This window comes from Homo sapiens, chromosome 2, assembly GCF_000001405.40.
Source record: "Homo sapiens chromosome 2, GRCh38.p14 Primary Assembly".
Classification (NCBI taxonomy): Eukaryota; Metazoa; Chordata; class Mammalia; order Primates; family Hominidae; genus Homo; species Homo sapiens.
Genome location: NC_000002.12, coordinates 18,769,329 through 18,784,000, shown reverse-complemented (window position 1 = coordinate 18,784,000; position 14,672 = coordinate 18,769,329). Strand labels below are relative to the sequence as shown.

Here is a 14,672-nt window from a genome sequence, read left to right as displayed (position 1 = left end):
GTCCTCCCAATATAAGCCCTAATATCACCAAAGTACTACCCGCCCAACTTTCTCATCATGCCCCCTGAAGGAACCCTACTTCACTCAATTCCTAATATGGCATGATGGGCTTTTATGTCAGTAGTTTTCTTTACTAACCATTTTTTAGGACACCTCAAGGTAGTCAGGAAGTAATAAAATCACATTGTTTTTCTTCTCCTATTTTGGTGCTTCTGAATAGGTAGCTGAACTCAAAACAAGCCAATAGTGATGAGCATATAAGAATCCTTGTTGCAGGGGAACCACAGAGGACATGGCGCCAAGGAAGCTGTAGGCTTCAGGCAAGCCTTTCTCCTCTTGGACCTGAGGCTGGATGGTAGATGCTGAAGGAGGCAATGTGCCTCAGGGACCACCAGCACTAGGACAGACATAAGCTGTTGACTTCAGCCCTTCTATAGGCGATATGACACTATAGAATGATTTTTGACTTTGGGAGAAAGTATTGCATGCTACATGTTTTAAGACTGTAAATGTGGGATACAGTATGGTCAGCACACCCACAGGAGAAACAAAAATGAGGCTTGGAAGGAAGAAATTTGAACACTCACGGGTCCCAGATTGAGGGTCACTGCATGTTGCTCAAGGGCACTGGGGAAAGCACCAGTGTGGTCAGGAGGCAGCAGTCAGGAATGAGGGGAGCGCTTACACCACAGTCTTTACTGGGTTTTCCTCAGCAAAGGAAGACAGGGTAGAGTTAACAGTTTAGGACTGTCTGGTTTAAATAATTCTCAGGGCTCTAAGCTAAAGGGGTGGTCTTTAGTTGCCTGTTGCCTTGGTTTGGAATGATGAAGGCAGAGGAGTATTGCTTCTTGGGGTGTGTGGGCCAGAGGCTGGGCCTCTTGTCATCCCTAGGTATTGTCTAGTATTTTCCCAGACTGAAAAGTTTTTTAAGATGTCAGGACATCATCATATACAGTATATATATACAAATTTAATAATTTATATAATATTCTGAGATTATTCTTAAAAAGTTGTATAGCATATTAAAGAAACACAAATCATAGAAATTATTGACATGATAATTAAAATAGCTATGGATGCCTGGATTTCAGACTGCATTACATGTATATTGCAGTCATCTAAGGAATATGTAAAGTCTAGAAAACCCAACACCAATAGACACTAATTAGAATAGCAACTATCTTAAATGAATGCTTATTATGTGGTTTGCATTGGGTTAAGCACTTAATGTATATTCTTCTCATTTAGTCATTAAACAACATACATTTATTTATCCCCAACATAGTAGTGAGGAAGCCATGACTTAGGAAAGCTCATTATGGTGCCCAAAGCTATGCATTTGGTACATGGCCAAGCCAATATTCATAACCAGATCTGTTTAGCACCAGAGCTTTTGCACAAAAAGGAAATAAAACAAAATCCAAGACACACACATACAAAAGTTTCAGTAGCAATGTTGAAGCATCAATCAGGCAGCTTAATTTCTGCAGACCTATTATCAAAAAAGTGCAATGAGTGATTTCTATTAATACTTAAGCAACTCATGAAAGAATTTTAGTGCTAGGAAATTGCACATTCACTTTGAGCCAAATCTGGCCTTTATTAGGAGAATGTGCAATCAGAAAAGTCAAAAATCTCCTCCAAAAACAAGTTTAGTCTTCACCTTTTGAATGAAGACCCTGAAGAAGAGAACATGTCACAGTCTTACTGTTTACATTTCTTCAAATGAATGCCCTGCATTTTTCTGTAGTGTGACAAAGTCATGAAAGTAGAATGTTATGATTTCAGTTAGGAAGTGAATGATATCTCTGCTGTCTGCTTTCCTTCCTGTCCATCCTTTTGGATTCAAATTAAACAATCCTGTGTCTAAAACCCAAATGTATGAAAACAATGGTCAAAGTGAGTGAAACTTCCTAATGCTGAAAATATCACAAAGGAAAGGAAATAGAGAAAGCAATGAATGCAGACACAACATAAAAGATCATCCAGCCTGATACAGCTGTGTCATCTTCAGGTGGACACTGGAACAGATGAAACATTTGAGTGATAAGAGCAGAGAAGGAGGATATCCTGATGGATGAGTGTGAAGGCTGGAAATTTCCACCAAGGAAATGAGAAGATGTTATATTCCCTCTTTTGGGACTTCTCTTTGACCTCACTCTCTCTGACTTCCAACAGTGTGGTCTATTTGGTTTTCAGAGCTATTTGTTGATGGTGGAGCTGAAATAGAACTTGCTCTAGAGTTGGAAGGAAACAGGAAACAAAGGTCAGTGTACTGTCTCTTTCCCTAAACTTGTTTGGATCTGAGTCCAATGGCAGCTGAGCACTGGACCACAGAGAAAAGCTTTGACAGGACAGAGAGTTCCTTGGGAAAGTAACAATTTTAAAGATTTTTTTTAGCAGAAGGTGTGACGTACTTTATAGCTTTAGCAAATTACATATATATGTGTGTATGTGTGTGTAAATATGGATGTGCATATATATGCATACATACATAATATCACTTTATATTTGTTTTTCATTGATTAAAATCTTCAGTGTATTTCAGTGGAGGTCATGTATTATCCTATATAATTACACAATTTATACATATATTGAAACATCATACTGTACCCCTAGAAATATATGCAATTATTTTAAAATAAATAATGCCAGGACTCTAATAATTATATCTACCCTGAATGTATTAAGAAAGAAAACCAAAAAAATAGTTTGACTAACTGTAAGTTTAACCACAAATAAATCATAATATTGAGATCTGAACACTTAACATTAATGTCATGAAAGGTGCTATGAATGTCCATTATTGCACACTAGTGGACTGCAAGCTCTTGAAAGTTCTGAATTTCACTCACACCATATTAATAATTACACTCCCATAACTCAGAGAACCACATCAAATTCTTTGGATGATAATGGTGCTGGCTACATCACTGAAAAAGGCCTTTGATAAAGAACTGTTATAGATCCTAGAGACTCATTAGGCTTAAAAAAAATTTTGCTTTTTCTCACAAGACATTTATGCTCAAAGCTAATGTGTTTGTGGATCACACCACAAGTTTATTCTTAATGAACATTTTCTCTCATTTCCTTTACCACCTATCCTGCTCCACTTTTCACCTGAGCCAAGGGGCTAAACACACACTAATGAACACCCCCTACGTTTGTCTTTAAAAACATCAAATTGATGAGCAGACACCCCAAATCCTTCATTAAATGGGTCATAAACTGAAAGAGCTCTTTGATTATAATAAGATGGAAGATTTATTAACAAACATGTATTCAGCTAAATCATAGTATTGGCAGTTTTATGAGATTGTCTCTCCCCAGCAGACAGGTGGGGCCTGCAGGCTCCTGTGGCAACAAAAACACTGAGTCCGTTAGTGTAATACAGAATGATCTAATTACCGCCCAGCCAAGGGCTGCATGGGGGCTACAAGTTCAGAAAGTTTATTTGGGTTTGCTAGGTCCTGAATCTGAAAAGTTTACATGTACCACACTTTAAGGAACAAAACAAAAATATGTTAAATACAATGAAATAAACTATGATCTAACAGAAGGTATGTGGTCAAGTGACTTTACTAAAAACAGTAAGAATGAAAGAAGGAAGGAAGGAGAGGAGGGGAAGGAAGAAAAAAATCTTAGAAAATGCCAAGTCACTTGCAGGAAGTTTCTATTCTCCATGATTCTCTAGTAAAGATTCCTTAGACAATTGTTTAATGTGTAATGATTATTAGAAATGTGAAATGTAGAATATATTTGCCAAGTAATGTGCAAAAGTCATACTATATGATAAAAAAAGCACATAAAAATACTAAATTGCTAATAAGTGACATATTATTAGCTAGTTAAAAATTAAACATCTGTATATATCTTGAAAAAATTATACGTAAAAGTTATATTTATAATATTATATATCATTTGACTAAATGGGCAACTGGGCAGTTTCTGATAATTTTAGAGATTTAACATAGTGACATGCATCAATAGGGAGGTATACTCCCAAAATATAATGCCTAAAAAATCCTCTGAAAATATTTATCAAATTATCAACAGTATTGTAACACTACCAAAAATGCTGAGTTACTTTTTTTTTTTTTTTTTTTGACACGGAGTCTTGCTCTGTCGCCCAGGCTGGAGTGCAGTGGTGCAATCTCCGCTCACTGCAAGCTCCACCTCCCAGGTTCATGCCATCCTCCTGCCTCATGCTGAGTTACTTTTTATAGTAAAACATAATAACTATTGTGAACAATTACAGTAGCTCGTTTTCAATGGATTCATTTTCCTACAAGACATATTTTCCTTGAAGTGATTTTTGTAATCCAGAGTTATATTTTCTGTCCTAGTATACTTTCAAGTATACACTCCTTTTCATATTTGATATTTATTGACTATGCCTAAATACAGACAAATTCTCTAAACTAATAATTATAAGTGAAATTTATAATAAATGCCTTAGTTTAAAATGTGGCTTAAGCTAAAACATTTGGTACTTAAAGAAAATTTATATATTTCTTTGTAGATGTGAAAGTTGAAGAGTGATAGTAGCATAAAGAAGATTATGTTCTTAATGCTGCATTTAGTGAATATTGAATGGGGAAAAATTCTTAGACCCTTAGGACTGGAAAGGTCTATTCATAGGTTTTACTCTAACCCTCTTCCTATAGAAGTAGTTAGAAAAATTCAGATAATTTCCTCGAACATAGTTTCTATAAATGTAATATTTATTTTCCATCATATGTAAACAGGTGTGAAACCACAAAAGCCTCTGAGGGAAGTATCAGTCTTCTGATGTTAATAAAGATCTCTCTCATCATAAACTTGAAGAGAAAAGTATGGAGCTAAAGTAGTACTTGACATCAAATAATAGAAGAATATTCTTTGGAGTATGTTCGTGTAGCAAAAGAAAAAAAATCATTTTCAAGTATACAAATAATCATAATAGCTTTCATAGTTTGAGTACTAGTCACTACACCAAGCAGTGTAGTACAGTATCACATGCTTAAAGAATACGTAACAATACTAATCTTAAAACAAAATGCATTTAACTAGCCATTTCAACATTTGGATAAATTAGGATTATCAGAAGAAAATACTTTCTCGCATATATATATTCATTTTCATGGGGGCTTGATGAAGACAGTAGATGTACTTTATACCCTGCTTAAATCCCATTTTATCATTAAAACAGCAACAATAATAGTAATTACATTGATATTACAGACTTGCTGTGAGTAAAAAACAAGAGAACACAGCTTCTAAGCTGCTAATGATAAATAAGTTACTGATGGTTGTTACTGTTATGGCCCATGAGGGGCCATAATTGGGGGAGGGACCATTCACTGGGGGATGTTGGATAGACTAATTCAGGGCAGATTATTCTAGTCTTTGAAAATGGCAGACAGAAGCATATTCTGTGGGGCACTAGGGAGCCACTGAAAGGTTTTAGATAGGAACGTGTCAAGTTTAGAACTGAATTTCAGAAAGCTCATCCCAGTAATAGAATGAATTGGAAAATAATTACCATTAATCAGTAAATGATAAGGACTAATGGTGGTGATTTTTCTCAGTATTAATGCATTGAACCATGAAAATACGGTCACTAGATCATCTACTCATCTCTAATACGTCTAGCATGCCATAATTTGATAGTGCAATGGCCTCACAATACTTGTCACTTTATGAAGTGCCTGTACAGATGGTAAAGACGTGTTAAGGATGTTTTGCGCAAATCGTTTGTAGGATATACGACTTTAAAGCAAGACTACTGAATTCCTAATAAATAAGCCTTCTATTTCTAAATTAATGTAAAAAGCAATCCCTCTCAGATTCTACGTTTATTCTACTTTGGAAAGTGTCATGAAAACTAGCTTGCTTGCAAATCATTCAGATAAATCTGAATTCTCTCTCTCTCTTTTTAAATTGTGTTTCTTTTTAAATTGTGTTTCTTTTTGCAGAGAATGATTATCTGGCAATGATTATCATCGTACCCACTAACCTGGGTTCCTCGGGACTCAAAGTGCCTCTGAAAGCCAACTTCAAGCTCCAAGTTGAAAATATTGCCCTTTTTGAAAACATTTTAAAAATTCTGAAGGCATCTCTAACAGGATATATCTAAAAATGTTTGGTACAACAGCAACCTGGTTTGAAGATGTGCCAGCTGTTAATTGTTCTAGTTGAATCTCTCACTGGCCTAAAAAGAGGGAGCCTTGTTAGGCTTTGTTTCTCTGGCTTGACTTTTAAGTCCCTAAACTAGCTAGAGTCCTATTAAGCCAATTAACACAGCTGGGGGCCACTTAACAGCCTATCCTCTTATTCAGGACTTACATCCCCTATTTGACCTTACAACAACTACCATCCTCCATCAAATGCTTGATTCCAACAATTCAGACATAGGGACACCGATAAGGGAGAAGAAAGGTTTTCATTTCTGAAAGCAAGATGCCTGAGTCAATTTGTCCCAATTGTATCTGCACAAGGCCTATTATATGGACTGTGATTTGGAGGGATGAAAGCTGTGAACTCCCAGGTCACTTGTAAACCGATCACTCCCCAGCCTCTCCTCCTCCTGCTTTTAAGTGGTTTGAGGCTGGTAAATTGAAACCTGAAGAAACACAGAGCTCTGATCCCTGGGACCTCCAGAGCAAACCTGGACTTTGGCTGATTTGCTGTAGGAAGTAACTGCTTACTTACCCCATAATTAACACCACAAGCTGATCTTTGGAAGATAAAGTACAGAAGGTCAGACATAAGATCATCTAGAGAAGGATTTCACTAAAGCACTACTTTTAGCAGCTCTTGTGGCTACTTCATTCATGAAACAATGGGCTATAATTTCTAAAAATATTACTGTTCATAGAAATGAAAGAAAGAGTGAATTACACATCACTGAATATGACCTCAGTCAACTCCCCCTTGATTAATGAAGCCATAGCAAATGTCAACTCAATACTGTATTGAGATGTAAAACATTCAGTTTGCTCAGTGGCAAGTTAACTTAAACAATTTTAACTACCTTTTACAATTCTATATGCAAATTGATTTTTGTTCCCTGGTTAGAAATATTTACTGGCTTATCATTCCCCATCAAATAAAGTCTGAACCCCTTCTGAGCCTGCAGTCCTTAGGGACCTGGCTTCCTAACCATCTTTTTTGTAGCTGCCTCACTGTCATCCTCTCAGCCATATTCACCCCTTACAGTACAATGAATGCAGCTGAGTGTCACATCTCCACACTTCTCCATAGACTCTTCCTTTATTTACTGCCCTGTCTATAAGGCAAATTACTTCTCTTCCTCAAGATCCAGCTTAAGAGTTACTTTTGGGCAAAAACTTCTGTGTCTGTATCTGCATCATCATCCTTCTCTGTGAGTACTGTGGCTTGTACATATTGCATTCCTGTAACGGGAAATATTACACTATCCTGTAATTTGTGCCTCTATGAATATCAAATTCTGGGAATTGAATAAAGAGATAACATTATAGAAGAAATTATGTTCTAGTATCTTTGCTTCTCAAATAATCTGAAGTCAAGATCTATCTTCACCCATATTAACCTGTATCTAAGAATCAATGAAATTGGAGGCAGATAAGTTTCTTAATGGAGTAAAGACCACTAGGGTTCAATGAAATCCCATTCAATGATATTACTATTCATTCTTACCTAGTTTCTAAGTTAAAATCTCTTACCTGGGAATAAAGAGGCTTAAATTTCAGCTGTGACTCTCTCTGAACTGTTTCAAAATTCCTCTCTCCCTCTTTAACATTATCTTGTTTGTAGAATGTAGGAGTTAGATAGAATGTCTCTGAGGGTACTTTTCTACTACAAAATTTTATAATCCTAAAAATGTCCAGGTAGACCGAGTAACTGTAATATATATTTATGAAGTCTACACTCTGGGAGTATAGACAATTGAACTCATTAGCTTAATTATTGTAACTCCAGTGCTAATACAGTCAAAGTTTATGGCCCATCTGGGCAAGTTAGCTTGAACAAGGCAAAATGTTGGCTTCCTCAGACACCAACTGTACCCTTATCTCAACTGTCTCAAACTGTATTCTACTGGTCACAGAGGAGCCCAAGAGTGAGACTGTTCAGACCATATTCACTAAAACTGTTAAGAAGTCATATATAGCATGTATATGGTGCTGACCCCAGGTCAACAGCATCACTCTCATACACAAAGATTTAGTCCCTCTCACCCAATGCTTCTATGTTTGGACATCTATTACAAGGCAACAATATCCAAAATTTGACAAAACTTGACACCCAACAAAATTCTTTATAGCATTATAATATTAATAATAGAAAATAACCTAAATGTCCAAAAAAGGACATTGAAAGATTAATACATCAGGTATAGAAATGTGATGAAATATTACCAAGCCATTAAAATTATTAAAATCAGGATAAAAATCATAGAAACATAAATGTTAGGTTAGAAAAAAAGAATAAAATTGTCTTAGTGTGCCAATGAAAAGAGTCAAACTGTAAAATATTTGAAGAGATTTATTCTGAGCCAAATGTGAGTGACCAATGACCCATGACACAGCCCTCATGTGATCCTGAGAACATGTGCCCAAGGTGGTTTGGGTGTAGCCCACTTTTATACATGTTAGAGACATGAGACATCAATCAATATATGTAAGATATACATTGGTTAGCATTGGTCCAGTCCAGGAAGGCAGGGCAACATGAAGCAGGGTGGTAACAGGTGGGGGGCACTTTCAGGTTATAGGTAGCTTTAAAGATTTTTTGATTGGCAATTATTTGGAAGAGCTATTATCAATAGAAAGGAATGTCTGTGTTATGATAGGGGGTTGTAGAATCCAAGGTTTTATCATGCACATCAAGCCTCCAGGTAGCAGGCTTCAGAGAGACTAGATTATAAATATTTCTTATCAGACTTAAAGAGCTTGTTCTATCAGTAATCCTAAAAGGGAGAAGGGGATAATGAGGCATTTCCAGCTCTCCCTTAGCATCATGGCCTGAACTAGGTTTTCAGGTTAACTTCTGAATCACCTTGGCCAAAAGGAGGGGTCTACTTAGATGGCTGGAGGCCTTAGAATTTTATTTTTGGTTTACAAGAGAATGGTCACATGAACATGCAGAGAAAATATAAATGGAGACCTACAGTAAACTACTATATGTTATATCATTATAATAAAGCCCGGGGTGACTTTTGAAATCTTCTACCTAATTTTCAATATTTTCAAATGTTATATAAAAATATGTATTAATTTGATGATCAGAAAGAATGTGTTTTAATTAATTGGCAGCATTTATAAAGCTAAATTTATAATTTAGCAAATCAGTACTTTTTCAAATGGATTAAATATACCACCAGTCAAATATGAAAAACATTACATTTATGCAACAAACTGTAAAAAACAACTAATCAGGAAATCTAAATGCAATTTCTTTGATTGAATACACAAGCATGATAATGTTTAAATAGGCTAGAGAAACATTTTTTTTTTTTTTTTTCTGAGACAGAGTTTCACTCTTGTTGCCCAGGCTGGAGTGCAATGGCACCATCTCGGCTCACTGCAACCTCCACCTCCTGGATTCAAGCGATTCTCGAACTGCCTCAGGCCAGCCTCCTGAGTAGGTCGGATTACAGGCATGTTCCACCATGCCCAGCTGATTTTGTATTTTTAGTAGAAACAAGGTTTCTCCATGTTCATCAGGCTGGTCTTGAACTCCCAACTTCAGGTGATCCGCCCACCTCAGCCTCCCAAAGTGCTGAGATTACAGGCGTGAGCCACCGTGCCTGGCTGAGAAAACATTTTAAAACAAGTCTCAGAATGTTTCTTCATGTGCAATGTAAATTCATTTACAACCAAGAATCCGTGTTTCAAGTTTTTCTTTTTTTTTTTTTTTTTGAGATGGAGTCTTGTTCTGTCACCCAGGCTGGAGTGCAGTGGTGCAATCTCTGCTCACTGCAGCCTCCACCTCCCGGGTTCAAGCAATTCTCCTGCCTCAGCCTCCTGAGTAGCTGGGACTACAGGTTTGCGCTGCCATACCTGGCTAATTTTTGTATTTTTAGTAGAGACGGGGTTTCACCGTGTTGGTCAGGATGTTCTTGATCTACTGACCTCATGATCCGCCCGAGATCTCCTGACGCTGTGATCCTCCCAAAGTGCTGAGATTACAGGTGCCCAGCCCATGTATCAAGTATTAAAAACTTGTGATATATATTTATACTACAAATAGAAAACACTTCCAAAAGAATTGAACTTAAAATGATTTAGATAATCAAATATGCATGCAAGTCACTGTCTAGTGATGTAACTTGGTACAAATCCCTTCCTCTTTGAACTTCAGTTTTTAACTCATCAAAATCAGGGCCTCACTCAGGATATTCACTAAGTTTCCATCTACCTCTAAATTGCTGGTTTTCTAAGGGCTGTCATGCACTGGTTGAGGTGGTAGAGTAATAGGAGGTTTAGGAATATGTCCAGGAATGAAATTTAGCTTTCAAGCAGGTCCAAACAGAAAAGGATCTGAATAAAGAGAAAAGTGAGGGTCATGAGGAAGGAAGGGAGGAAAGGACAGAGGAAAAGAGAAAGACAAGAGAGAATGTTTTATAAGATGAAAGCGTTTAGTAAAATATCTCTCACGGAAGTTCCAGAATGAGAAAGTATGTAAGATTCAAGTTATGGAAACCTGAAGTGCTACAAAGTTCCATATCCATTCCCACTTTGTGGCATCTCCAAAAATGTCATTTTACCTCCCATTGGCAGCATCAGATCTTAAGGCCATGACATTATTCATGAAATTGAAAAAAATAAGGAACCCTAAATGAACAATGTATAGAGAATGAATAAATATTTCATTCAGTACAGATAAAAGATAATATTCAAACAATATTTGAGCCCTATCTCTGAGTTCACATGTCTCCCTGCGTGATCTCAAACTGAGGTTCCCACAGGAACCTCAAACTCAGCATTACCAAGCTGAAACTCATCTTCATGATACACCTACTTCTTCTCCCAGAATGTTTTGCTTCAATGGTACCTCTTTTTGCCTAGGCTCCAAAGCCACTACGGAATCATCCCACAGTCTCCTTCTAACTTATCTCTATAGTCTTATAAATACTGAGTGTATTAATTAACCCCTAAATATCTCTAGACTCAAATTCTTACTAGTCCCCTTCAAGTGTAGCATTTACCCGCAGGTTTTTAAGTGGTGTTCCCTCCAATATCACCTCTCTACCATCTACCTGCCCCACTGCTACTAGGTATCTTTCTAAAATGAGACTCTGACAACATAATCTCATATCTTTAAGTCCTTGAATAATTCTCCTTTATTTTATTCCCTTTAAAATAAACCAAACTCCTTAGAATGACATTAAAGGGTGATCAGAATATGGCTGTCTTTCCTGGCCTCTGTGTTATGAGTGAACCAAGGCCTTCTGCACTGGTGTCTCAGCATGTGTGCTTCTCTTCATTCTTTATTTTGAGATGGAGTCTCCCTCTATTGCCCAGGCTGGAGTGCAGTGGTGTGATCTAGGCTCACTGCAACCTCCACTTCTTGGGTTCAAGCAATACTTCTGCCTCAGCCTCCTGAGTAGCTCGGATTACAGGTGCGTGCCACCATGCCTGGCTAATTTTTGTATTTTCAGTAGAGACTGGGTGTCACCTTATTGGCCCAGCTGGTCTCGAATTTCTGACCTCATGATCTACCCACCCACACCTCAGCCTCCCAAAGTGCTGGGATTACAGGCGTGAGCCACCGCGCCCAGCCTCTCTTCATTCTTTAACTTCTACTTCAGAAATCACCTTCTCTGAGAAACTTTTTCTGACTCCACCAGATAGGATGTTTCTTTCCTGCATGCCCAAATGGCATTTAATGCTTTTCTACACTTATATTTCTCTAGCACTGATCACACTGTATTGTGATTATTTGTGTTCATGTGTGTCCTGTCACTGAAATGTAAGATCCTTGTGAACATGGATCTGAGTTGTGGAAGTCTTTGTAAACCCCAAATGTGTTCATTTTGTAAATAATCAGTAAATACTTGCTAAATGAATTAAGGGAATAACATCCTTTAAGGATATATAGATATAAAAGTTAGCAGTTAGAAATCCATGAGTAATGACATGTGTTGTTATTTCAATAGTTATATTTTGATCTTAAAAGATTGATTATGCCACGTATGCTGCTCCATTTCCTGGGGTCATCTCTGACTCCATTTCTTCAGTCAAGTTCAGTCAATCGTATCATGCAAGAAAACTTTGATATCACAAATCATTTGACGGTATCCAGTAAACTTTGCGATCTTGACATAGATTTATTTAATCAAGATTTGAATAAAGGGGAAATAAACATAGTGAAACACCCCTAGGTGTTTTCTTTGACTCTATTCTCCTTTCTTTATTGTTTTAGCCATTACTTCTATGTAAGAAATACTGGATATCAGTCTTTCCTTCTGTCACAATTCCCAGAATATTCTTTCCACTCTTCTGGAAGTATCTACCTGTCTCTACCATACAGAACCCAAAGTTAACACTGCTATATAGTACCATTATTTCCTGTGTCAACTAACTCTTCCTGTTGTATGTCTTATCTCTGTGAATGGCATTCCAGTTCACCTAGTCACTAAGAGTGTGCCAACCTTCTGTTTTAGTTTCTCTATCTTCCTTACTTCATGCTTACTAGGTAATTATTTAGTCATAGAATCTTTTTGTCACTATTCAAAATGTGTATCCCAGTCGTCTGCTCAGCTCTCCCTGTGTTGCCATCACTGGTTGAGGCCTTAATTTCACCTGGACTGCTTTGAGAACAATCTACGGGTTACACTGCTTCTTTCCCATCCTCCCATCTGTTTCTCAAACACCATCAACCCTTCCTTATGCTCGTATCAGATACTAAAATCTAGTACAATGTTGTCCAATAGAAATTACTGCACTGAGGCCGGGCGCGGTGTCTCATGCCTGTAATCCCAGCACTTTGGGAGGCCGAGGCAGGTGGATCATGAGGTCAGGAGATTGAGACCATCCTGGCTAACACGGTGAAACCCCGTCTCTACTAAAAATACAAAAAATCAGCCGGATGTGGTGGTGGGCGCCTGTAGTCCCAGTTACTTGGGAGGCTGAGGCAGGAGAATGGTGTGAACCTGGAAGGCAGAGCTTGCATTGAGCCGAGATTGCGCCACTGCACTCCAGCCTGGGTGGCAGAGCGAGACTCCATCTCAAAAAAAAAAAAAAAAAAAAAAAGATAGAAATTACTGCACTGATAGAAATGTTCTGTACTAATATGAGGTTCAAGGCACACATTGAACACTTGAAACGTAGTTATTTCAAATTGCAACTGGTGTAACTGAAGAACTGAATTTTAATTTTATTTTAATGTATTTAATTACAAATGAAACTACATGTGATTAGTGGCTACCATATTGAACAGCACAGATCTAGATCTAATCAGCCACTCTCTGATTCTATAATATTCAGTAATTCAATCGTATCCTAATGGTGAGAATGACATAAACTGAAAACTTATCAACTTGCCAACTTAAGATTCTTCAGGATCTGGTTCAACTTAAATGTCCATTCTGGTTTCCTGCTGTATCTTATCATGGACCCTATGATACAAACATAATGGGATGCTCATAATTTAAAAAAAATAACTTATATTTCCCCTGTGGGCCTTTGTTCTTCCTTTTGCTTGAAAGCTACAGGTTATTATTTTCATCTCCCAAAAGCTTGTCTATTCTTTAAGGCCCCAGAGGATAAAAAGTGCCATCTCCTCAATGAGCATCTTCCTCAACTGAGGGACTGCATGGACCCACGATACATTGTACCAGTGATACGGTTTGCCTTATACTTGTGCTGATTTTGCTTATTTCTTACTACAATTTTCTCCATTGGATTAGAAGGTCCTAAACTTGGTGTTTTTGCTGATTGAATTTGTAAATACATGACATCCCCTGTGATGCCTGGTTTCGAATATTTATAAACATTTATTGAATTTTATGACTTTGTAGGACAAGGAATATTTTCCTTGATAATCTTACTCCTTGGGCCTTTAGAAAAATTACACCAACATGGAATTTGTTTTAGGCAACTAAAACTGGGAACATTCACACACTGTGAAATTCAAGATACATTTTATGTCAAGAACCATAAAATGAGCAAAGCTCATAATCCTTTTGTACTTAAAACTTAAGTAGAAATTCATCAGTACTGTGCTTGTATCTCTGAAGAGAAGGAGTATCTCTAAGCTGGAAGTGAACGTGTACAAAGAATTCACTCCACAATATTATTTAATACCTGCTGTACGATCATTCCTGGGCTAGGTGTTCTAAGGCCAAAATGGAATGAGAAACACTTTCTAATTGAGGTGCTTAAAACTAAGCTGGATACATATGGCATGCACATATTAAAGACCAGCACAGAACAGTCTGGTTTAAATGGTGCTGATGCTCCGGTGAATGGGAAATCTTATTAACTTTCCTGGTCTCTGACCATCAGGAATTGGCCATGAATGACAAATTTGGATACTTTGGCCAAAAAGACAGAGGTTATAAACAAAGACTAAAATATATGAACAATAACAGAAGATAAGTGAACCAACTTGCATGAAGTGAAGGTGTTATGAAATATAAATATTGCAGATACTAGGAAAGAATTCACAGACCAAATTATGCAGGGCCTTGGCTCTTAGAATAA

At 37.3% G+C, this 14,672-nt stretch overlaps 1 long non-coding RNA gene across 8 annotated transcripts in view, besides 1 other annotated feature; it reads right to left on the bottom strand.

Moving 5' to 3' along the window:
* LOC105373456 (uncharacterized) overlaps window positions 1-14,672 on the bottom strand; it is a 529,181-nt gene that overhangs the window by 305,356 nt on the left and 209,153 nt on the right. The window lies entirely within an intron of this gene.
* Window positions 5,970-6,739: an enhancer, noted in NCBI's record as "NANOG hESC enhancer chr2:18958528-18959297 (GRCh37/hg19 assembly coordinates)". NCBI's record gives its function as "activates a minimal SCP1, AML or CMV promoter by ChIP-STARR-seq in naive and primed H9 embryonic stem cells {active_cell/tissue: H9 hESC(naive and primed)}" and the evidence as "EXISTENCE:reporter gene assay evidence [ECO:0000049][PMID:30033119]".